We start from the raw sequence: 23,363 nt of genomic DNA, 5'->3' as shown, positions 1-23,363 counted from the left end.
ATGAATCCATTATACTTAAATGGCTATAAATTTGGGATTAATACTGCATTTTAGCTATGTATTTTTTTATTTGTCAAAAAACTCCCCATACCACACTTGCCAGTGATCTAAAGTGATTTGCAGGGCCTGCTGTATCCCACTTGCCACTTGGCATGTAAATCTGCACACTTATATAAAGAACATAAAATGAAAACATTCATGACCACTAAAATACATGCATTAGATCCACATTTAGCTGAAGCTAATCTAATATGCCATCATCCCAAGTACTTACAGATAATTTTCTCTCCCTCATGCTAAGGAAACTACCTTCTACCTAGGCGCATCCTTCCTTCTTTCCCTCTGGCTTCAAAAGAAAATTTATAGGTCCCATAATCAAAGACACTAACTTCACCTTGCTCTGGAAGGAAGTCACTCTTAGTCACTCAGGGAACCACTTCATCAACATTCCCTTTATCATGGACCCTGTTATAACTTCCTTTTTCTTCAGGCACCTTACCTTTAGCCTATAAACCTGCTCTAATTTATCCCATTCTTTAAGAACTTTTTCTTGATTCTGCTTTCCCCTCCAGCCATGGATTTTTCTCTTTTCTTTCATCCTGGGCCAAATTTCTTGAAAGATTATCCAAGTATGGGCCTACATTTACCCCACCATAAATCATAAAGATAGTGATTCTTGTAGGAATAGCCTTTACTTAACATCTGACTTCCTTTTCTGCCTTGCACCTCTCATCCTACTGCTGTCTGGTTTCAGTCCCCATCCCACTATTGAAAATGCTCTCTCTGTTGACTTTCTATTTGTCGAATGAATATTTCTCATTTCTTCCAGAATCTTTCCTCCCGTGGCTTCCGGGACGCTCATATCTTCTAGAGGTCTTCCTGGTTCTCTGCTTCTTTTCAGACTCCTTTAATGAATTCTTTGTCTACTCCTCAAAAACTGAGATTTCCCAGCTTGTGTTGCTTGTTAACCTTTTTGTTTTATCACTCTGTAACCTCACCACCACAATCATGACCACCCACATGATTGTATCTACTTTTACAATTTTATTTCCCCATCTTAATACCCCTCCATGGTTCTCCATGGCCTCTAGAAGGCAAAGATCAGAACTTTTCTCTTACATCCAAATTTTTCATCCTCTAGTCCACACCAGTCTCTTTAGCCTCATCTCACATGACTCATCGCAATTAACTCATTCTTCATTCCATAAATATTCACTGATCCTCTACTGTGTTTCAGATACCACTTGAAGCTCCTTAATGTAGCAGTGAACAAAACATGTAAAAACCTCTGCCTTCATGGCATTCATATTCTCCTAGTAGCACAGAGCTGTTGTTTTATATCTCTTTGTCATTGCAAAGTATTTCTTCCTATCTTAAAAATCTGTGTGTTTTGGCAAATTTCTATTTATCCTTGTGAATTCAGGTCAGACATTACTTCTTCCAGAAAGACTGTCCCAGCACCTCACATTTTCCCACCAGCCCTATAAGAATCTTTATCATTTCTTCAGGTCCAGGTTTGTTGTTAAGTCATAACATTGGGGTTACCATTTTTCTTCAGAATTTCTCAGGAAAATCCCAGAAAGACACATTGTGCTTTCTGGACTGGAAGATGCCTAGTCCTTTAATAAATTGTAAATGGAGTGCTAGATCAAGTAATTTCACCTTACCCGCACACACCAAATGATCACCGAATCTCCGATTGTTAAGAGTCCATACGACAATTATCTGGTAATTGAGCGGACAATTTGTTTCCCCAAATAGCCTTGCTCACATGTATTGTAAAACATGAATAAATTTAGTATTATGTTTTTATGTTATAAAACCATGTTATTTAGCCTAATTATACTACAGCTTTAAAAATTGTTATAAACCCAGCAACAGTCATATATGACTTTCAAATTCTATTTGTTCATAAACTAAGGATCATCCTATTAGCAGAGGATACAAGCAAGATTACATTGTTCCTACCTGCATTATATTTTAGTGTCTAGCAAACAGTGTTTAGCTATTTGCCCTTGTCAGAAAAGACTATTAAATTAATGAGTTTGCCTGCCAATTTTGTTTGAAGCTACCTACTTTCCAACAGTATACCTTAAAATATGTGGATGCCTTGCTTTTTTGCCTGTGTGGTTTTTTTTTTCTTGTGGAATACCTCTTAGCAATGGTTCCTGAGTCAAGGCCATCCCACCCTCCCCCAAACACCAGGGGTGGGTTTGTAACTACCCAGGGTCATTTTGGGGTTGTATTATGGGAAAAAAAACCCTCTTGGTTAGACTTGGAAGTAAAAATCCTTAAAAATATACTTGTAAGAACTACACTGCAGGCTTAAGGAGACAAGTCCAGCTATTCAGTCAACGACTGGACTTCTACCATACCCTAAGTTCCCAACACATCCAAATTACATCCTTTCTTCAGCCTAAAGTCCCTTCAAAGACTTCCCTTTGTGTCCAACAAAGGGAAAAGGATCAAGTGAGGGAAAAGAGAGCTTGTTTACTTCAGGTGTAGGGAAGGAGGGAGGACCTTTTCATTTATGTTAGCAAACTTGAGGAAGGCTATTTGAAGATGGTGCCAGTAACATACAGTGGAAGAAGTCGCCATATTTGTCCAGTTTAAAAAAACCTTTAGGGACGCATAGAAGTGTTACAGTGCTTGTATGGTGAAATAACACATTAAGAATCTGTCAGATATCATTTTAATTTCAAGAAAGCATGAATGGAATTTGTTTTTCGTTGAAGCTGTTTATCATCAATTGTTGTACTGATTGGATTCTTACTGGCATTTAGAGCGCAGGGGCCAGGAATGCAAAAACACCCAGCTGTGGGGAACAGGCACGCAATCCCAAAACCCATCCCATCCAGAATTCCAAAGAGTATTCCTCTCCATGGAGGAATACTCTGACCCTTTCTCACCACCAGGTAGCTTCTCTAGTCTTGTTGCCTCAGATCTTTTCTTTCTGCTGCACGCAAGCTTTGCTGAGCCTTCTCACTTAACCTTACGGCAGCACCTGGCTCCTTAAGGTGTGGTCCTCAGTACCTGGGAGACCAGGTCATTTTGCATCCCACTTTAGACCCTATTGAATCATTATCTACATTTTAACATCATCTCCCAAGTGATTTATATTCCAATTAAAGTTTCCATATTCCAGCATGAAGCCTGACCCTTGAATGATTGATCCTGGTCCAGTGACAGAATCCCCTAATTTAGTGGAAGAGATTTCTATGAAATTACTAAAGACCATCCTCCCCAAGGCTCTTGAGAAAGCTTACTTCAACAAACGTCTCTAAATTGCAGGAGTTTGTGAAAGTCAGTCAGTGATGCTTTTGAACACACTAAAAAACTGCCTGAGGAAGGCACATCAGGAAACTGTGAACAAGTCAACTTCTGAGACAGCCAGTCACATGGAAGGAAGTCACACTTCCAGGGTTTTTACAGAAACCAAAAGATGCCCAGAATCTGAGCTGGCGTCAGGCTAATGAAATAGGGGCCTTCCAATTGTTTCTCTTTTTTCCTCAGAAGAATTAATTACCCAAGCTGCCCCTCAAAGTCTCAATAAATAAGGAGGTCTTTTTTGATATTGTAGTTTGTGAGCCTAGAATTTCAATTGACTCCTTCAGAAATTTGGAAAATCATTAAAAACAGGTATCAGAATGATAGATGAAAAATGTGAACTTAGTTTCACATGTGTAAGACGAAAGTTATTCTCTAAAAAAAAATTGCATATTCACTAAAAAGTACTAGCAACAAAGTTTTTAAAACTTGTATACACCTATGGTAAAATGCTTAACAAAATGAATTGTAATAGAGAAATAAAATCACGTTCTAAAGGAAGGGATTTGAAATTGGGCTTATCACTCTCATCCTTTAGAAATACTATATTATGCTATAAAAATAACTCTGTACACCCTATGTAACTTTAAATTATCAATGTCATATAAAAGTAGCATTATACTCTTGACTCCAAAATGTCTGAAAACACTTTAATGCAATTCAAAACAGTGCCCTCGAGTGTTAGGGAGAATTTTTCTGCTCTGCCTTATCAGGCATGATGAGATGAGCACAGTGTTTGGTCTAATTAGTTCTAGTGCTATTCCCCTGAGCGATACTTGAAGGCATTCTTTAACTTGAGAAATTAATAAGGACAAAAAAAAGGACAATGTGTCGATTCAAATATATGCAGTTTACTAACAGTTAACGTAGGCACTGTTAACTGAACGTTTATTAGAACCATGTTCTAATCGTCATTTTTCTGTGGGTCACTAATCCCTGTTTACTAGATATTGGTGGACCTCTTGGCCAAGAATGGCTGGGGATCCTCCGAATCTGTGTCTGGAGTCTCAGTTTTCATCTGACATGCTTGACCACTTCTGCCAGAATCCAGGAGCTCTCTCTTATGACACCTGCAGTGACTTCTATTGGTGTCTCCCACTTGGGTTGGAGGTCTTGTAAGATAGATCACAAGGACCCTTCTCTGTCATCGTCCCTTCCTATTTAGGAACCTGGCTTACTGGTTCCAAAACAAATATTACTGTAAAAGGCCAAAACAGCCTATCCCTCCTTGGCAGAGTGATCCAGAGCTGTCACACAGGCTCAGTGTCCTTGCAGGACCACGGGCTGTCTCCTCCTGACCTAGCACAGTGCCACACCATAGTGCTGGCCTTTTTGACGTGAAGCTCGCCCCATTTGTCCAGAATCCACACAGAGCCCAGTATGTGGTTTCTTCCTCAGCTAGAGTGAAAGAAAACCCACCAAAGCCTGATTTCCTTGCAAAGTGAAGGTGTTGGGAGGCAGCCCAGCATGGTTGTTAGGACACAGGCCCTGAGTTCAAATCTTGGTGTTCACTTGGCCTGTGTGATCTGCCACATGTATCTTAGGATCTCCAAACTTCAGTTTCCTTACCTCTAATGGAGCTATCAGTGTGCTAATTACAAGGACTAAACAAGAAAATCCACATAGAGCACTTAGCACAGTGCCTGGTGCAAAAGCTGTGCTCAATAAATCTTGGCTGGTGTTGGCAGTTAGAGTCCCCAGTTAACAGACCATTCCCATTCTCTCCCCTCATCCATTTCTTTTGAGTTTGGGAATAAGTTGCAAAATGTGTGTCATGATGGTCTATAGATCAGAAACCATCAAATCTACTCTGCTCAGGCAGAGCCATATTCCAGCCTCAATTGATTTGCATTGGCCGAAAGGCCCCTGTGGGCACGAGATTCTAGATGGTCTCCACCTTCCTAGAAGATGTTTATGTTATAATCTAGTGTATTAGGTAAATGAAGTTATCCAAGAAATATGTTACATCTTCCCTTCAAAACTGTTTCCTCATAATGAAATAATTACTCTGGAATTCACCATAGGTAACAACGGCCTCAGCTACAAAGGTTTTCAATGTGGGCAGGATCATAAAGATCTTTTCTTATTTACATTTTAGTCTCATATACATTATATTTAATGAGTGTTTTTTTCCTTCCCCATAAATATATTTCTACTTTTACTGACTTTTAGTTAAATAAAGATTTGCCACATCTACTGATATTCTCAATAACAAGTATTTTAAATATAAACACTCGGAAACCCTGAGTTTTGTATTTTCAGCATCTAAAAAATTTCTAAAATGCTGATTTAAAGCATGGAGTCTCTGCTGTTGATGTTGCCCCTCTTGGGTTGTGAGTCTTGTAAAATGGGTCTCTAAGGAACCTGCTCTATCATTGCCCCTTCCTGTTAGAACCTTGCTTACTGATTCCCAAATACTAACTCAAAAGGCCAACCCATCATAACCATTCTAGATGTGGTGAGCCACAACTATTGGTTAATAGCCTTCATTTCTTCAGAAATTCTCCTTCACTGGTTCCATAATTTATATTTTCTATAAACTCGTAACCCTAAGTGATTCTGATGCAGATGGTTTAGGGACCGCAACTTAGGAAACAGTGATCTAGGTCAGAGATCAGCAAACCATGGCTCTTGCCAAATTCAGTCCACCATCTGCTTTTGTATGGCTCTTGAGCTAAGGATGGTTTTTACATTTTTAAATGTCTTAAAATGTTAAAAGAAGAATACTCTTTTGTAACAGGTAGGAGTTGTACAAAATTCAAATTTCAATGTCCATAAAATGTTATTGGAACACAGCCACACTCATTGGTTTGAGCATTCTCAATGGCTGCTTTTGCATTGTGAGGGCAGAGTTGAGTAGTTGCAACAGAGATCATGTAGCCTGCAAAGCCTAACATATTTACTGTCTGGCTCTTTACAGAAAAATTTTGCCAGTCTGTTGTCTAGGCATTCACAATAACCAATGATGCTTCTAAGGGTTTAAAACACACACACACACACACACACACACACACACAACTGAGTAAGAAGGCAGTATGGTATTTCTATGACACAACTTCCTCAGGTGACAGAGAAGACAAGAGTGACAAATGAGAAGTGGAGGGGAGGATTACCCAGGCTTTCTGCACAACAAGAAGGGGGGAAATTATATTTTTCTATTTCACTCATGCCTGTGAAGAGAACATCATTTCATTAGGAAGGTGGAGTTCATGCACATGAAATATCCAATAAATATTAAAAGAGAAATATACTTAAAGTCTAAATCCTATGATGCAAATAAAAGTGAGAGGAACTTAGGAAAAGAATCGCCTGAAGGTGAGATTAAAGGTGGACAAGGATTTAAGGTTAAATGGACAGAGAAGGGGGAAAAGGACTTCCCACTTTGAGTAGCTCTGTGAGTCATGAGACCTTAGAGGTGAGATGGACTAGGTCCAGTTAGAGAAGTTCTTTGATGAGCAGAACTCTGGTGAAAGTTCATACTGGGATGTAATCAAGATACTGTTGGGTAATTGAAATAGGGACAGATCCTCCGGTAGGGCCTTGAATGCCCAGCAAGAGAGTCCAGACTTACTCTAATGAGCAATGATGATGACCAGTGTAGGTGTTTTATCAACATATCAAGAACATGTGTTAGAAAAATGACTGACAACAATGTGGAATCAGACTCAAAAAGGAAAAATATATCTAAGAAACTATTTTTAAATGAATATTCAGAGAGTTATACTTTTACAGCCCTTTTTACACCAACTGTACAAGAAAAGAATAGAAACACCAAAATTGTGGAGAGGGTGGAAGCCTTGAATAGATTTATGCCCTAAACTTTTCTTAAAGCTCTTTTAAGTCTCTCTTTTTAATGATGCTGTCCCACAAAATATCTATAATCAAACTAAAATCTGATTTTAAAACCCATGCATTTAATCATGCATGTCCCAACCCTGCAATTATTGGCATTCACATCTGATTTACAGAAAACTCATTTCCATGGTCCCCTCAGCCTTGTTGTGCAAATGTCCAGTGAAACTCTAGTTCTGTTAAAAGTGTCAATCTGACTGTACATTTACCTAACAGTTTCTTCCTTGAGAAGCCATTTATATGTTCATAAGCCTCACAGAGAAATACGTACATATATACATACACACGCACAGTGCATTTTAAAATTGTTTTACCTGGCAGGAAAAGGTAGTTACCTCTAAAGCTTACAATGGCAGCTATTCAAAGGCAGACCGTGATATTACACGGTAGTTTAAGAGAGGAAATATAATTTCGGTGGTGGGAGACATTCACGTAGGCCGAGGCAATTACCAGGGTTGGACTTCAGCCAGAATATCTGAATTAACTGAAAAAGGTCTCATTCGCTGCCAGTGGCACTGAATCACTAACGAGCATGAATGTAAAGTCCCAACTCCAAATTGGTCTCAAGGCTCAGCTATAAAGTTGAAATAAGGAGAGTAATGCCTGTATTTTGTCTATAATCCATTAATTTGCCTATCATGCCAAAGCCTCATTTGAGAGAAGTTCCTGCTGGCCACTTTTTTTTTTTTTTTTTTAAACATTTGTATACTTTCTGCAGTCACTCTCTGACATTCAGTTAAACTGCACTGCACACCGGTAGGGGGCACCATTCGCACAGAATCTATGACCTAGACCTGTGAGGGTGGCATATTGACTGGGAGTGGTCCAGAAACCTGTCACCAGTGCTCAAAGAAAGACATAAAAAATTGAAATTAAGCATTAAAAACTCATATGGCAAATTGACATGAGTAATTTTATATCAGTTGAATCAATTTTTAAAACAGGGGCTTATATTTTTCTCTTTTAATTTTCTAATAATTTTCTTTACAAACATTTGGCTTTTGGATTTGAATTTTTTTAAAAACTGGTCTTTGCCAGAGATTGTTTGAGAAGCACTCCCTGTCTTAGACTTATCTATCATGTGAACAGCACCCTCGGCGTTGTACAATGTGGCTGCAGGAGCAAAGAATTGCAGAAAACAAGATCTGCCTTGGACACTCAAAGGACTAAAAGAAGAATTTTAATTTATCTAGAAATATTTTAATCACTCAGCAAGAAGTGGACTAGGGCGAAAAGAAGCCCATGCGCAGAATGCTGTCTGGACTGGACTGTTTAGAAAGAAATTGACCTCTCTCTGGTCAGTCCTTGCCAAATATGGACTTGGTTTTGAAGCACTCTCACCCCAACAAATATTCAGGCTATTTTGCTTTTGGAACTGTGCCTAAAGCAGTTCTATTTCTAAAACTCTGAGGTGCAGAAATGTGAACACATGGAGCCAGATACATAGTAAGTGCTCAAAACATTTTTCTGGTAAAACCCCATCTTTACAAAAAACACAAATACAGGTGCATGTTGGCATATGCCTGTAGTCCTGGCTACTCGGGAGGCTGAGGTAGGAGGATCACCTAAGACCAGGAGGCCAAGGCTGCAGTGAATGGTGACTGTGCCACTGCCCTCCAGTCTAATCAATAGAGCAAGACCCTGTCTCAAAAAAAAAAATTATCTATAAATAAAAAAATTAAATGTGGGAAGGGTCTTCACTAGACAATCATCTTGGTTGGCTCTACTGACGATAAACCAAGGCATAGTGTTTCTAGCAATGGTCTGAGAGGCAACCTGCTCACGGGGATAAACAAAAACTTGGAATCTCAGAAAATAAGGGGGTAAGAATTCAAGCTGAAAGGCTGCTGCAGCTGACAAGTGATCTCTGATGAGTAATCAGCCTTGGGTCTTACAGCAGTTTGTGCAGTATCCCAAAGAAAGACTCCAGGGAAGCAGTGTGCAGAAGCCAGGCCGGCAGGTAGTTTGCTTCCAGGATATCTGCAGGGACTGGGCCAGCAGAGCCAATTCTGTGTAAGTTGGAGGTGAGGTGAGCAGAGGGAAGGCGGGGGTAGCAGCCAGACCTCAGGACCTATTTCTCTGCTGGGAATGACAGTCTGGGGTCCTGAGAACATGGAGGAATGCCCAGCATCTTCAGTGACTTGATGCTGAGTGACGGTAGAGACATGGACTTCCAAAAATGCCATTCACCGTGAGGCTTTTCCTTGGTGGGAATGGAGACTGTTGAAATAGGACAAAGGTGGAAAACTGTCTGTTATTTACCTGATACACTTCCTCCAAAACAAAAAGGGGAACTATTTGGTGAAAAAAAAAAAAAAAAATTTACGTTGTTGTTGCTGTTGTTGTTGTTGAGACAGAGTCTCACTCTGTTGCCCAGGCTGGAATGTGGTGGCTTGATCTTGGCTCACTGCGACCTCCACCTCCTGGGCTCAAGCCATCCCCCTGCGTCAGCCTCCCAAGTAGTTGGGACCACAGGCACACGCCACCATGCCCGGCTAATCTTTGTGTTTTCAGCAGAGACAGGGTTTCCCCATGGTGGCCAGGCTAGTCTCAAACTCCTGACCTCAAGTGATCTGTCCACCGCAGCCTCCCAAAGTGCTGGGATTATAGGCATGAGCCACCGCGCCTGGTCAAAAAAAGAGCACTTATAACTCACTGTGTAAAACTAAGTGAGTACGAAGACTAACGAGTGGAGAGCTTTTTTCCCACACAACCTGATAACTCACCTCACAAGTCACATAGGTAAAAACTTTACTTTTAATCATCCTAAAGAAAATAAAATAAATAAAATGTTTGGTTTCTGCATAAATTCTACATTGTTCATTGCTCCTGTACTCCAATTCCCAGATGAGGCAAATCAATCCAAAACTCCAAAAATGCCAACTGAACAAACCATTCTATTTCACAATGAAATCTACGTACTCTGTAGAATTGAGAATGAGAAAGCGTTACCCTAACATTTGCCTTTGAATCAAGCAGTCCAAGGCTTTACATGATTTTGGTCCAAGGGATAATAAATGTTCAGGAGAGCAATTGCTTCTGCAAGTCAATTGTACCAAGTCGGTAAGCTTAAACATGGAGCAATTTTATTTTAAAAGTGCCCTACATGCCTGGGAAAAGCAGTGGCTTTAATAAAAATAGACAATAATGATGATGAATATAATAGTGATATTTTATACTCATCTGTTCCCTTTTTAGTTTTGGATTCAAAAATGCATAAATTCTCTTCTGGGTTTCTACTAGCTTTTATACCATAAATCTGTTTTCATTGTGAAAAAAAAGGGGCAGTATAAAATATTGGCCATAAATCATAAAATAGGGAGGCTTGTGGCATTACAGTAAATGGTTTTGGTGAGGTAAATTATCTTGTTAAGTCCTTATCAACATTTTTAATGGTTATTTTTGATTATTTAGTATATTAATATTTTGAAATTTTCAGTTTATTGGTTACTATTTCTTTGAACTATTTGATAACATAACTTGTTAATATTTCTTTAAAGTTTCAGAACTTTTGAGGTAGTTATCCTCTCCCCTAAATTGGATTGCTGTCACCACTATTTATGTCTTCCCTCTTTACAAGTACTTTAAGAATATAATTTCTATTTTCAGAAATCTCAAAGCTAACTCTTAAATATATCTCTGGGTGGTTCTTCAAACCTGTAGGTCAAGTATGTGAGAGCACTTTTTTTTTAGTACAGAAAGCTCTTAAAAGTGGAGAGCATTTTAAGAAAAATGAAAGAACAAATGGTCTGGGGAACAAAGTGAGAAAACATACATGTTTTTCTAATCTTCCTAAAAGGAAGACTGATGTAAAGGAAGAAACATACAGGCTTAGAACTCAAAAGTCTTAAAAGATGAAAGCCCAGGTGTGATACCCGCACACCTAGAAACTGTGGTATGAACAGACAGAGACAGGAGCAGTTCACCTTTGACTGCCCAGACAATTGAGAGGCTATTTATGATCCACAGAAATATTGACAGCTGTGTTGTTCAGAGTATCCCCCCATAACCATGTTTCATGAGGGAGACAATTTTTCTTCTGTTTATTTTCTGATTTATCTCTTCAGCCCTGGGTAACTTTTATGGGTGTGGTTTGATTTGATTTTTGCTTTTCATTACACTTTTCACTCAGTGTTAATTATTTGGTTTTCCTTTTGGCTTGAGAAATATCCATGTTCTGGGTATAAATTCCCTCTTAATCTAAGGAAATTCTCTTTTCTGGCTTTTCATTTGTTAGCTCATGAAGTTTCCTGCAACAGTACAGGACCTATGTGTTAAGAAGCATCAGATGGCAAAGCTTGGACTCTACATAAAGTGACTGTTAGTTTTCTTAGCAATCAGAGATGGGGCCTTCATAGATTCACACTTGGCCATTTTCAAACCCTACTGTGTTTGGGGGCAGTAAAACAAACAATGATTAAGAACCTTAGGTTCAAAAGTAGTTTTAAAATCCTAGCTCTGCCACCTAGTGACTGTGTGACTGGGGGTAAGTTACTTTTCATCTCTAAATCTGCAGTTACTTCATTTGTAAAATGGGATGCTAAGAGAACCTACTTCACGTGGTTGTTGTGAGGATTAAATGGCATGATGTGAAGTGCCTGCCAGAATAAGGACCCAGGAAATGTGACTTATTGTTTGCAGTTTTTCATTTTTCCTTGTTCTGTGTTATTTTTCTCCATAGAGCTCATGAAGCTGGCAAGCTAGAGAACTTACTGATAGATTGTGTACAGGAGTTGAAACAGCTGCTGAAGAGAAAAATCAACATCAATTTTTTGCTATCCCATAAAACACGTGGTTTACTAAACTGAAACCCTCGAGGAATGGGGCATATTTCAGGCACATTCTTGTGTAAGAAGACACAGAATGATGTGCATTCCCAACATATTAAACCCAGCATAAACCTCTCATCTCTCCTGAATGTCCAGCGCTTTTCAAAGAGCTATGTTTTGCATATTTGATTTTTTAAGAGACAAGATCTTGCTCTGTCGCCCAGGCTGAAGTACAGTCATGCAATCATAGCTCACTACAGCCTGAAACTCCTGGGCTCAAGCGATCCTCCCACCTTAGCCTCCTAAATAGCTAGGACTATAAGCACACACCACAATGCCCAGCTAATGTTCTTATTTTTTAAACAAAAGGATCGTTTAAGGCCAAGAGTTCAAGACCAGCCTAGGCAATATAGAGACAAGGTCTCCTTGTGTTGCCTAGTTGCCTAGGCTGGTCCTGAACTCTTGGCTTTAAACGATCCTTTCACCTCAGCCTCTCAAAATGCTGGGATTATAGGTGTGAGCCACTGCACCTGGCCTTGGTATTTTTAAATTAAGTTTTTATCTAACTGTCATTAATAATATTCTATTGTCCACATTTTCTGAATATGTGAATATGCAAATAATATGAGCGATATGGATTTCCCCAAATCTTTGTAAATATCAAATTGGCCATTGCTTTAATGTCCTCTTTTACTCTGTCTGTACTTTTACTCTGTTCTTCACCTTTTGGTCATAGTTTTGGCCACTCTCAGCTTCCCACAGCATCATGCTAAATAATTATCTTTTCATTCTAAACAATAAAGTTAGTCTAGTTCTCTAAACAGTTCTGAGATCTCACAACCTAAGTTAATTTGAGACAATAAACCCTTTGATGGTTTTCACATAGTGAGAAAGAGGTGTCTGGGGCACAATGCTGCTTCATGAGTAAATGGAAAAGTTGGACAACAGGCGGAAGAGAACTAAGGGTCTGCCATGTGGGGAGCAGTCATCCTGATGAGAAAGCCACAAGAGAGGCCAGAATACACTAGCAAAGGAAAAATAGACTGTTGAACCTGTCCTGGGAATTTAAATCTGACAAAGCCATAGATGGGAAAGAGGAGACTTTAGAGGGGAGTTAGCATAGTCAAGCTCAAGAATCCAGGAAGGCTCAGGAGGAAATTCATGACATGCTAAAGATCAGAAAAGTGACCTGGCAACATGGCATAGTGAGCCAAGGAAGAAACGTGTGTGCTCAGTACAGGTACGGTAGCCTTAGAGAGGTGGGAGGGGTAAACACAACATATGGGTTGTAAACCCGGCAGCTGCACCTATCTGCTGAGATTATGGCATAAAATGTCTACAAATGACCAAAGCAGTGCCTGGCACACAGTCAAAGCTCAATAAAGTTTGTTTTCCTAACACAGCAGGACAATAAGGTACTGAACAGGAATATTGTCCCAATTCTGCCATTAATTATTGACGTGATTTCATGGTACATCATTAAATTGCTCCGCTTCCACCTCTGTAAAAATGGATGCGTTTGGGCAAATGTTTGCTCCAGTCCACTCTATTATTTTTCTCATGGTCAAGTTACTTAATGTGTGTCTTATGCTAAAATATAAGCTGGTTTTATCTTCCGTTAAAGGGAAATAGAATATACTGATCAAACTAACAAAAATAATTTTTAAAAAACCAAAGTATCAAACTACAGAATTCCCTTTCAGGATAAATAGCCCTGTTATTTACTTAGCAAGCATTCTTTACATACATGTCACTTTGGTAGGCACTGGGGATGCAAAGACAAACAGGATGTTGCCCCTGCCCTCAAGAAGCTTATAATCTACTTAGCCCAAGGCACATAACAATGAAGTGTCCTGGTGTGTTCCAGGTGCTGTGATGAGAGTGCAGCCAGGGTACCATGGGTGGGGGGACACGGCAAGATTGGTCAGTTCTACCAGGAAGAGAAAGAGTGGTGACAGCATTTCAGAGGTGGTGCATGAGATAAGAATTATAAAGAGGTAACTTCGTGCCAGGCAATCAGGATGGGGTAGGAGTTCTAGGTAGAAATGGGCCCAGCAGGGCAAAGATAGAGTTGTCACACAGCCCAGGTGTTCTGAGAGCTGCAAATGGAGTGGGGCAGACAGACAGAGGGCTCTGAGGTGGAACTTTGTAAGCAGTGGGGCTGGAGCTGCAGGCAGGGCCAGGTCATGGAGTAGGTTGTATAATAAGGAGTTTGGACTCCATTCTGCAGCAAATAGGACACCACTATAGAAGAAAAGAGAAGTACTATGCTCAAATTTGTGCCTTACAAAGATTCCTCTAGCAGCAATGGAAAGAATGGATTGGGCAGGACAGGAATAGAGGAAAGGAAGGAATAGTTAGAAGTCATTTACAGTACTATAGGCAAGAAGTTCTGAGGTACTGGGGCTCTGAATCAAATAGTAGGAAGCAAGAGTCGAGAGAAGAGGTCAATACCAGCGACATCAAGGAATGACAGAATGTGAAAGGGAGGATGGAATGGACAAATTTGCAATGAGCCCCAGGTTTCTGGATTGGAGAATGGTTTGCTATAGCACCATGACTGTTGGAGAAGGGCAAGTTGTGGGGGAAGAGATTACATTCATTATTGGATGTGAGTCTGTGGGCCCTGTAGAATAGTCAGTGTAAATACAGCTGAACAGTTGGTCTTGACATCGGTGGGGGGGAAGGACAAGGCTGATTTAGAAGGAGATTAGATGTTTTCAGTAGTACGAGAGGCCCTGAGGATAAAATGAACTCAACCCAGGAGAATGCCTCAGTGAGAAGAGAAAAGTGGGTGCAGATGGAGGAAGCAGGTGTAGCAGATTCAGCAAAATGAAGTCATACCTTTGTCTTGGTAAGCTGTCCAGATAGACAGTGCTGGGCCTGCAGTAGCCATTCAATCAATATGCATTTAATGATGAATAAGTAAATGAATGAGTGAGGGAATCGTTGAGAGAGAAGTGAGGGGCACTTAGTGTAAGTAGCAGAGGTCAGGCTTAGAAACACAGCACTACCAATTCCTCTCCTGCAGACAGAAGCTAAAACCATGAGAGAGAGGGAGACCCCAAGGGAACGTGTATAAAGTGAGAAAATAAGGACTCAGGAGTGAACCCTTATCTCATTAGGAAGGTAGACGAGGCACGTTCTCCACGATCCTCTGTAAAACATTAGTCATCATTAATCAGAGCAGCCCAGTCAGCCAGAGCAGCCATTAGAGACACAATTTGACCTTCATCCATAGCAAAGAAGATAATGTTCCAGTTCCCCTTCACGTGGGAGGTAGACGAGGACAGAAGAGGCACAAAATGTCGGCTATGATGAAGCACCAGGTTCGGTATGAGCAGGTGCCAGCTGTGAAGAGGCGCTGTTGGGCTGTAAAGTGTGGTTCTCGACTTGTTAATTCCATTAGGAAAAAACCTAGATTAGTCCCCACTGACGCTGTGTGAAGAATCCAAGCTGAGAATGAGCCCCACGCTACTAATGCAGCTTCAGAAAGCAAAACAGACCCACAGAGTCCCTAGGTGGGTCCAGGTGACACAAACACACTTCCTTTGTCATATGCAGGTGACAGAGGTGGCTCATACTTTTTCAAACCCTGTTTCTCTTTAGAAACCTGAAAGCCAACATTGTTTGCAGGCTTCTTTGTTAAGTGACTTGAAGATGGGAAATTGTTCAAAAATAAGCTGTCAACTTAATTGAATTCAATTCAGCTGAAAAATATTGTGGTATCACTAAAAGTTAATTGTTAACAATATGCTTGTTAACAATACAATTATTAACAAGCATGGCCCCTGCCTTCACTGTTTTTCTAAGATTAAAACCAAAATAAAACATGGTGTTATTTAGTTTAGAAGTCAACTACTAGTGAGTTTAAGTGCTGATTTTCCCCTTCTCTGAAAGATTTACATCACTTCTAGTGATTGTCATCAGCTCCATGATGATTCAGTGGGAAGCCCTCGTATGTACATCTGCAAAGGCAGAATCCATTGGCTGGAAGGTCCCCTATGGTTCCAACATGCCACAGACTTGTAATACATACATCATGACTCAACCAAGGCACATTGCTGGCAGCCCAGGAGAACTTCCTTCAGTCTCTCATCTATGCAATAGAGCAATAAAATATTCTTGAAAACTTCAGAGTTGTAGAAGGCTCTTGGCCTAACCATATCTGGCTCCCTCAGTGCCATATATCTGTGTCTATTCTCTTTCCAACCCTAGTTCTGCCCATGTGGGACATCAGAGGGTCTCCAACTTTTTTTCCTAAGTAAAACGGCAGCTTGAAATGATGCCCCTTATAGTCATGCATCTAAGTAAATACACAGGAGATTATGATGTGCCAAGAACCTCATTCTCTGCCACTACAGCCCCCAGGCTACCAAGTGGTCACTATTGCTGGCCTCTTCTGTTCCATTGAATATAAAACCAACAAGCAACATCCAAATAATTATTACAGGTCTTTGTGCTGACCTGAAAGATTTTAGGACAAGATCATGGCAAGTAACTAGTCTGCTAATTGCATAATGCCCTGCCATCTTGCTATGGCAAATTGGTGTGGGAAAAGAACTCTAGACCTGGAGTCAGAGAGGGTGTGGGCCAAGTCTCAGTTCTGCCATCTCCCTGTTGCATGCCTGGGATGCCATCAGAACTCTACTTCCTTCTGTAAGATATGTGTAGTCATCCCTTTCCTGCCTCCTTCACACAGATTTCATAAAGAATGTGACAATATATCCAAAATTGCCATTTCAATGACAAACTGCTACATGAGAGATACACCACAGAGAAATAAAAATTGAGTATTGGTAAAAATACATTTTGATGTTTCCTTTCACGCAACAAGTATTTATTGAGCACCTACCCTACACTAGGTACTGTGCTAGGAACTGGAGAATGAATACATACACGTAAGATCCCTGCCCTCAGGAAATTAAACCCATAGGGGAGAGAAAAGTTATCCCAGAAACATGCACCTGAATTCCAATTGTAACAGATGCAAAAACTTTGGCCCAGGGAGGTTAATGTAAGGGGTTGTTAAAGGTTGAATTGTGTTCCCACCCTCAAATTTATATATTGAAGTTCTTACCCCCAGTACCTCAGAATGTGAACTTATTTGACATAGGGCCATTCCAGAGGTCGTTAATTAAAACAAAGTCATACTGGAGTAGGGTGAGCCACTAGTCCAATAGAACTTGTGTCCTTATTAAAAAGGAGAACATTGGAGATGCCATCCCCTGTGTGCATGTCTGTGAAGATGAAGGCAGAGATCTGAAAAGCCAAGGAATGGCAAAGATTTCCAGCCAACTCCAGAGGCCAGGAGTGAGGACTGAACAGATCTTTCCCCAGCAACCCTTAGCAGGAACCAACCCTACCAACACCTTGATCTCAGACTTCTAGCCCCAAGAAGTGTAATATAGCAAACTTCTATTATTTAGACCCAAAGAGGGGAAATACCTTTACGAATTAGTGGTCTCAACCATGGAAATGGGAAGTAGCATTGAGGTTTATGCAGCTATGAGAGCCTCTATCGGGTTTGGTTTAGACAAGTCTGGGAAGTTACCTCTGAAGTGACCCTGGAGCAAACCAAGATCTAAAGGAGAAACAGGAGTTAGCTGGGTCAGCAGGGCAGAGAAGCAGGCTCAATGACCTTGTGGTAAGAGGGAGACTGAAGAGTCTGAAAGAAGGTCCCTGTGGCCGGAGGAGAGAAAGCAAAGCACATAGGAGCTGAGCACCAGAGCGAGGTGAGGCTAGAAAAACGGATGGGGAACAGACTAGGGTCCTACAAAGGATTTTCACTTTGTTCTTACAAGCATGGGGAAGCCAATTACAAGGTTTCAAGTAGATGAGTGACATGATCAGATTTATTCTTTGAAAAGACTGTTGTGACTACACTGTGAAGAGCAGATGGATGAAGGTACGAGCAGGAGGCAGGTAGGTTGGCTGCAGTAGGCCAGGCAGGACCTGACAGTGAATTACTCAGATGCAGCATGGGACATGAGAATTGAGGACTATTTAGAAAATAACCACAGGACCTGAAATCAACTTGAATTGCTATGGCACAGGTTGTTATTGTTGGACTCAGATAACAGTTTAAATATGTCCCAGGGTGAATGGTGATATTTCCTTAAAACATGATGGCAGATTACGCCTGTCTCAGCATTGATGCTAGGACTAGGTATTGACACTCTTACATTTTCTCCACCTTGATCTCTTCATACTTTCAGTTCATACTATGACTATTTCATTTTTTATGTATCAGTGGGAAAGAGATTAGCATGTTTACCAGAAAAATTGTGCCAAAATAACAAAGCTAATGCTTATTTAACTGCTATGCCTCATAAGTCTACCCCAGTCTTGCAACAATTGGAGAATTCTCCCATTAACCAAAGGCACTTTACATCTGTGCATTTTTAAAAGGCCAAATCTGTGGAAGATTTTATTTCATTAGAGATATGTTCACTCAACTCATTAATAAAAATTAGCCTCCACTTTAAAACAGAGTGGCAAAACAGTGCCCACTTGCTACCCCCTTTTCCTCCATTCCCATGGCTGGGGTTGCTAATCAATAAAGATGATTTCCTGCTGAGGCCGTTGAGAATCCCCACCACAGCACTCCAGGCAGCAGTTGATCAGAGTTGGCAAAAGAATGGACTCGTTTTCCATCTCCATTTTAATGCTATGTAAATCCCTTCTTCCCAAAAAATCATCACTCTAAGTGCATAGTTACATTTTCCTCCTACCACAGGTATGGTTTGCCTGTTTTCATCAACAGCATCTACAACAGGTGGTGTTGATGTCTTACTCATATCCTCTCAGCTGACCCAAGTCCACAGATGGCTGGGATGCTTCTAGCAAACTGATAGTTCTACCTCAAGCACCAGCCTCTTATTCTGTAATGAAGAACTTTCTGTGGCACCACAGATACTTCCTCAGCCTTAAAGCAGGCACAACCGAGAATGCAGGAGAGTTAACACCATAGGAGAACAATCCTTATCCCCCCATGTTCTCGTGGTTTTTCAGAAGATCCACGATGAGACTAAGCCCCAGCTGCTCAACACAATAATCTATTCATTAACGTTTCCCTTCCCTGAATCACTTTCCCCATTCTTCGCTTTATGCTTCGTAGAGTCACCCAAGTCCTCCTCTCAGGGTCTGCTTTTGTGAGAACCCAAACTAAAATGACATCCGTGATCCTCTTTTGTCTTCATGTGATGTAAAACATTGACTCACCAGTAGTCAGTAAGGTTCCTCTTGGTGATCCGTGGACTGTGATGCAAGCTGTGACTCTCTGCTCCACAGCAGAACCATTAGAATTATCTTTTCTTCTGCCTGGGAAGTTCTACAGGAGAACCTGGGGATACGAAAAATAAACAGGGAGAAAGAGAAGTCAGTTGCACCAAGAATCCCCACTGTAAAGCAAACAAGTTTGTTCTTAATCCCTATTTCTTGCTATTGTAGTTATGAGAAAATACATTGCAGGGGTAATCCTCTGATGATTTTTGTGCTTTATCTCCACAAGTAGTAACAACTATTGTTAATCAGGGAAGCCATAGTCTTAAGGGAAGATTGATTTCAAGTCTTAGCTGGTTAGTCAAAACAAGAAATAAACATCAGTTCTACCTATATTCCAGATCTTACTTTTAAAAAGTAAAAGATCTAGATTTGTAGACCAAAGTAGAGATAGAAATAAATTGCTCTTAACATTAATAGATTATGCTAAGAAATCTTAAAATGACATCAGGCCAAAGTCTCATATTGATATCTCATATCTCATATCTCCCAACATCCCAGTAAAGTGCCAAGACATCAAAAAGATAGTATCAGGGATTCACAGATTCTAGCAATAATTGATTTTTAAATGGAGGATGGCATCTATAACAAAATAGGTAAGTATTTTAAAAAGGAATGTTTAGCCTTGAAGATTAGAAGAGCATGACACTGAAAAAGATTTACTACAGAAAACAAGAAACTCAGAAAACATACTTGGGATCCTCAGATGCTAGAAGATGTAATATTTAAAAAGGAGAAATGGGCACGGCCGCTCAAAATGCAAAGACCACACAAAGTAATGCTTGATAAAGAAGTCTGAAATAGACAAATCAGTGGGCTTCGGATTACCTCAGCAGGTGAAAACATTCATTAACATCAGTGAGAACCAGACCTGATGCTGCAAGAAGTTAATGATGTAGAGGTCAACATGAGGAGGTCTCCAATTATGGAGCAGTAGGTCTCACGTTTTATTCCAACTCAACAGCAATCACATGCACATCACTCTCCCAGGTAATTCTGGTTTGGATTGGGTGTTTCAAATAGGAGACCAAACCTAGGCTGGGGAGGTTGGGGGAGTAGTATGCCTGAGTTACCAGAGGAAGGGAAAGAAGTGTTAGAAGGAAAACCTTAGATTAAATTTGACAGAGTTTGAGCAAAGAATGATTCGTGAATCAGGCAGCCCTCAAACCAGAATAGGTTCATAGACACCCCAACACTGTCGCATGATCGACAAAGATTTATGGACAGAAGCAAAGTAACCTACAAAAATGGAATTGAGGTACAGCTCAGATTGGTTACAGCTTGACATTTCCCTGATTTGAACACGATTCGAACAGTTGGCTGCCTTTGGCCGAAACTCTGGCACAAGAGCAGGTTATGGTCTGTTTACACATCCAGTTAGATTAGTAGTTCACCATGTACAGAGAAACTCTTAGGCTGAACTTAAAATAGGTAAGGAGGCAGCTTTAGGCTAAACTTAACAGAAGTGTGAACCAAGAGCTTTGACTATGACCTCTTGGAGGAGAGGAAGAAGCATGTCTCTCTTTTGATAAATATTGATCGTAGGGAGTCAAAGGACAAAAAAATTCAGGACTCTAATAAAAGAGTCAAGATCAAATCTACAAATAGAATAACCTTTATCAGGACTTCTGGAATGTGCATTAGTCACCTGGGGACCCTGTCAAGATGCAAATCTGATTCAGTATAAATCTTAGGTCTGAGATTCCTAACAAACTCCCAGGTGAGGCTGATGCTGCAGGTCTCAAACCACATCTTGAGTAGAAAGACTTCAGAGAAATCCCAAAGCAAATGCTCTTGCTATAGTCCAGGAAGAATTGATGAAAACAAATTAACACTTAGGCATATTCTGGTAATTTATAAAGCACTAGAAAGGATTTTAAAGTGCAATTTTTCTGGGAGGAAAATGAAAGGTGACTTACCAATAAAAATTGAGCAGATCCAGGCTTCTCCTTCCATCACTAAATATCAGAGGACAATAGAAAAGTCTTGGCTGGGTGTGGTGGCTCACGCTGTAATCCCAACACTTTAGGAGGCCAAGGCAGGGGATCACTTGAGCCCAGGAATTTGAGACCAGTGTGGGCAACATGGTGAAACCCCATCTAAAAATACAAAAAGTTAACCGGGTGTGGCAGTACATGCCTGTAATCCCACTGGCTACTTGAGAGGCTGAGGTGCAAGAATCATCTGAGCCCAGTAAGTCAAGGCTGCAGTAAGCAGTTGAGATCTAGTTTCATTTGAAACTAGAATTCACATGGAAGTGCTTAGGAAAGATGCCAGCTATATGGATTTGCTACTGCTACCATAATACATTCCTTACAAACTTAGTGGCTTAAAACAATATAAACTGACCTTATAGTACTGTAGGTCAGAAATCCAGCACAGATGTCACTGGGCTAAAATCAAAATGTCAGCACAACAGCATTCTTTTCTGTAGTTGTTAGAAGAGAATCCACTTCCAGAGGCCTCCAGCACCCCATAGCCGGTGACACCCTTCCCGTATCTTCAGGGCAGCTGCAGCAAGTCAGAGCCTCCTCACGCTGCCATCTCTCTCTAGCTGCAGCCAGGAACGTTTCCTCTCTTGAAAGGACTCGTGTAGTAGGTTGGGCCCACCTGTATAATCAAAGATACTCTTTGCATCTGAAGGCCTTTAGCCTTAATCACATCTGCAAATTATCTTTTGCCTTGTAAAGTAGCCTACACGCAGGTTTTGAGGATAAGCATGTGGATATCTTTGTGGGGGCCACTGTTCCACCTATCACACCAAACAATTATTTGAGGAGATACATTAAGAGAGGAATCAAAATTCAAAATCCTCAAATAGAGAAGTACTGGTATAAAACGAACTGTAGCAAGCACTAAAACTAGTTAAGTTGCGTAAATGTAAATAATCGTATAAATACTTACAGGAAAATGCAAAGTTAGAAGCAATTCATAAAAGAATAATGGTAGCATAATCATTGAAGCTGGAGGCACAGTCTATACTAGAGCACAGAGACTGGAGTGAGGTTAAACCTTCTCACCTAACCAGGATCAGGAGGAACTGGAAAACTCCAATGGGATGAAAACAGTGATTGAAAAAGATAAAGCAAATCAAAACAAGTCGTAGTCCATACAGCATAAGGCAGCTCAAAAGCATTTAAAAGTAAGCTTAAAAGAACAAAAAGTGGAAAACAGTGAAGGAAAAATAACATGCATCTGTTGTGGCAATAAATTGTTGAACACCTTGCTGAAAAGCAGACCTCTACTTTGTAGAAATAGAATTTGAAATCCATCAAAAGCATTAAATGAACAAACATTCCACTTTATATTGATAGAATGTAAAGTGCATTACTATTAAAATAGTTTGTTATTATCTTTACTTTGTTCCAGAAAAAAGAATCTGAGCCTCTGAGAGGTTAGGGGACTCAATCACAGTCATGCATCTGTGAGCCACAAAGCAAATCCAGGGTCTCCCTCACAGCCCAGGAGTCCATCCTGATAGCATGTGCCCACCCATATATGTGAGACCACATAGCTAGTGAGAGGTGGAGCTGGGACTAGAACCCAAGTCAGTTTTACCCCATATTCTGTGTGCATAACTCTCACTCCACCACCTCAGAAATTGTGTTCCTGTTTCTATCTTTGCCTCATAACCAGGACCCCTAAGATTCCCATTGATCTTACCAATCTCTGCCACTGTAAGTGAATTCTCCTGTCTAGTCCCATCCCTCCCCATGGGGCAGATCCTGGGGGGTTCACCCACTGAGAGATCTGCTCCAGCCTCTTGATAAGGATTTGGGTGCCTCCTCTCCCAATTAAGGTGAATGTCTCCCCTGGTGCTCTAGATCACACCCTCTCTTGTCTCATGAAATGATTTCACCAGTTAGCCTCTTTCCTACTGAATCTTCACACTGTCTCTACTCAGGTTCCTTCTCATCTGGATGTTAGCATGCTTATCCCACCAAAAAGAAATCTCTTTATGGAGGGCTTTATTCCCCTGTAGCCACTATGACACTGCTTCTTCAACCCCATAACCATTTCTCAGTCCCACTTCCTCACCTTCCATTTCTTCAAACCCACTGCAATCTGATTTCTGCCTTTGTCTTGGCAATTGAACTGCTTCCACTGAGGTCACCAGTGACCCTCCTCTCT

At 40.6% G+C, this 23,363-nt stretch overlaps 1 protein-coding gene and 1 long non-coding RNA gene across 16 annotated transcripts in view; one reads left to right on the top strand and one right to left on the bottom strand.

Moving 5' to 3' along the window:
* MAGI2 (membrane associated guanylate kinase, WW and PDZ domain containing 2) overlaps positions 1-23,363 on the top strand; it is a 1,436,613-nt gene that overhangs the window by 1,219,473 nt on the left and 193,777 nt on the right. The window lies entirely within an intron of this gene.
* Positions 18,952-23,363, bottom strand: part of LOC124901684 (uncharacterized) — a 30,058-nt gene continuing 25,646 nt past the window's right edge. Inside the window, exons 2-3 of the long non-coding RNA XR_007060400.1 lie at positions 21,582-21,842; positions 18,952-19,293 (exon numbers count right to left, since the gene is read on the bottom strand). This is a non-coding gene — a long non-coding RNA (uncharacterized LOC124901684). The remainder of the gene's footprint in view (positions 19,294-21,581; positions 21,843-23,363) is intronic.

The sequence above is a fragment of the Homo sapiens genome, chromosome 7, assembly GCF_000001405.40.
Source record: "Homo sapiens chromosome 7, GRCh38.p14 Primary Assembly".
NCBI lineage: Eukaryota > Metazoa > Chordata > Mammalia > Primates > Hominidae > Homo > Homo sapiens.
Note: the sequence above shows the minus strand (reverse complement) of the source record. Positions and strands in the feature narration are given on the sequence as shown.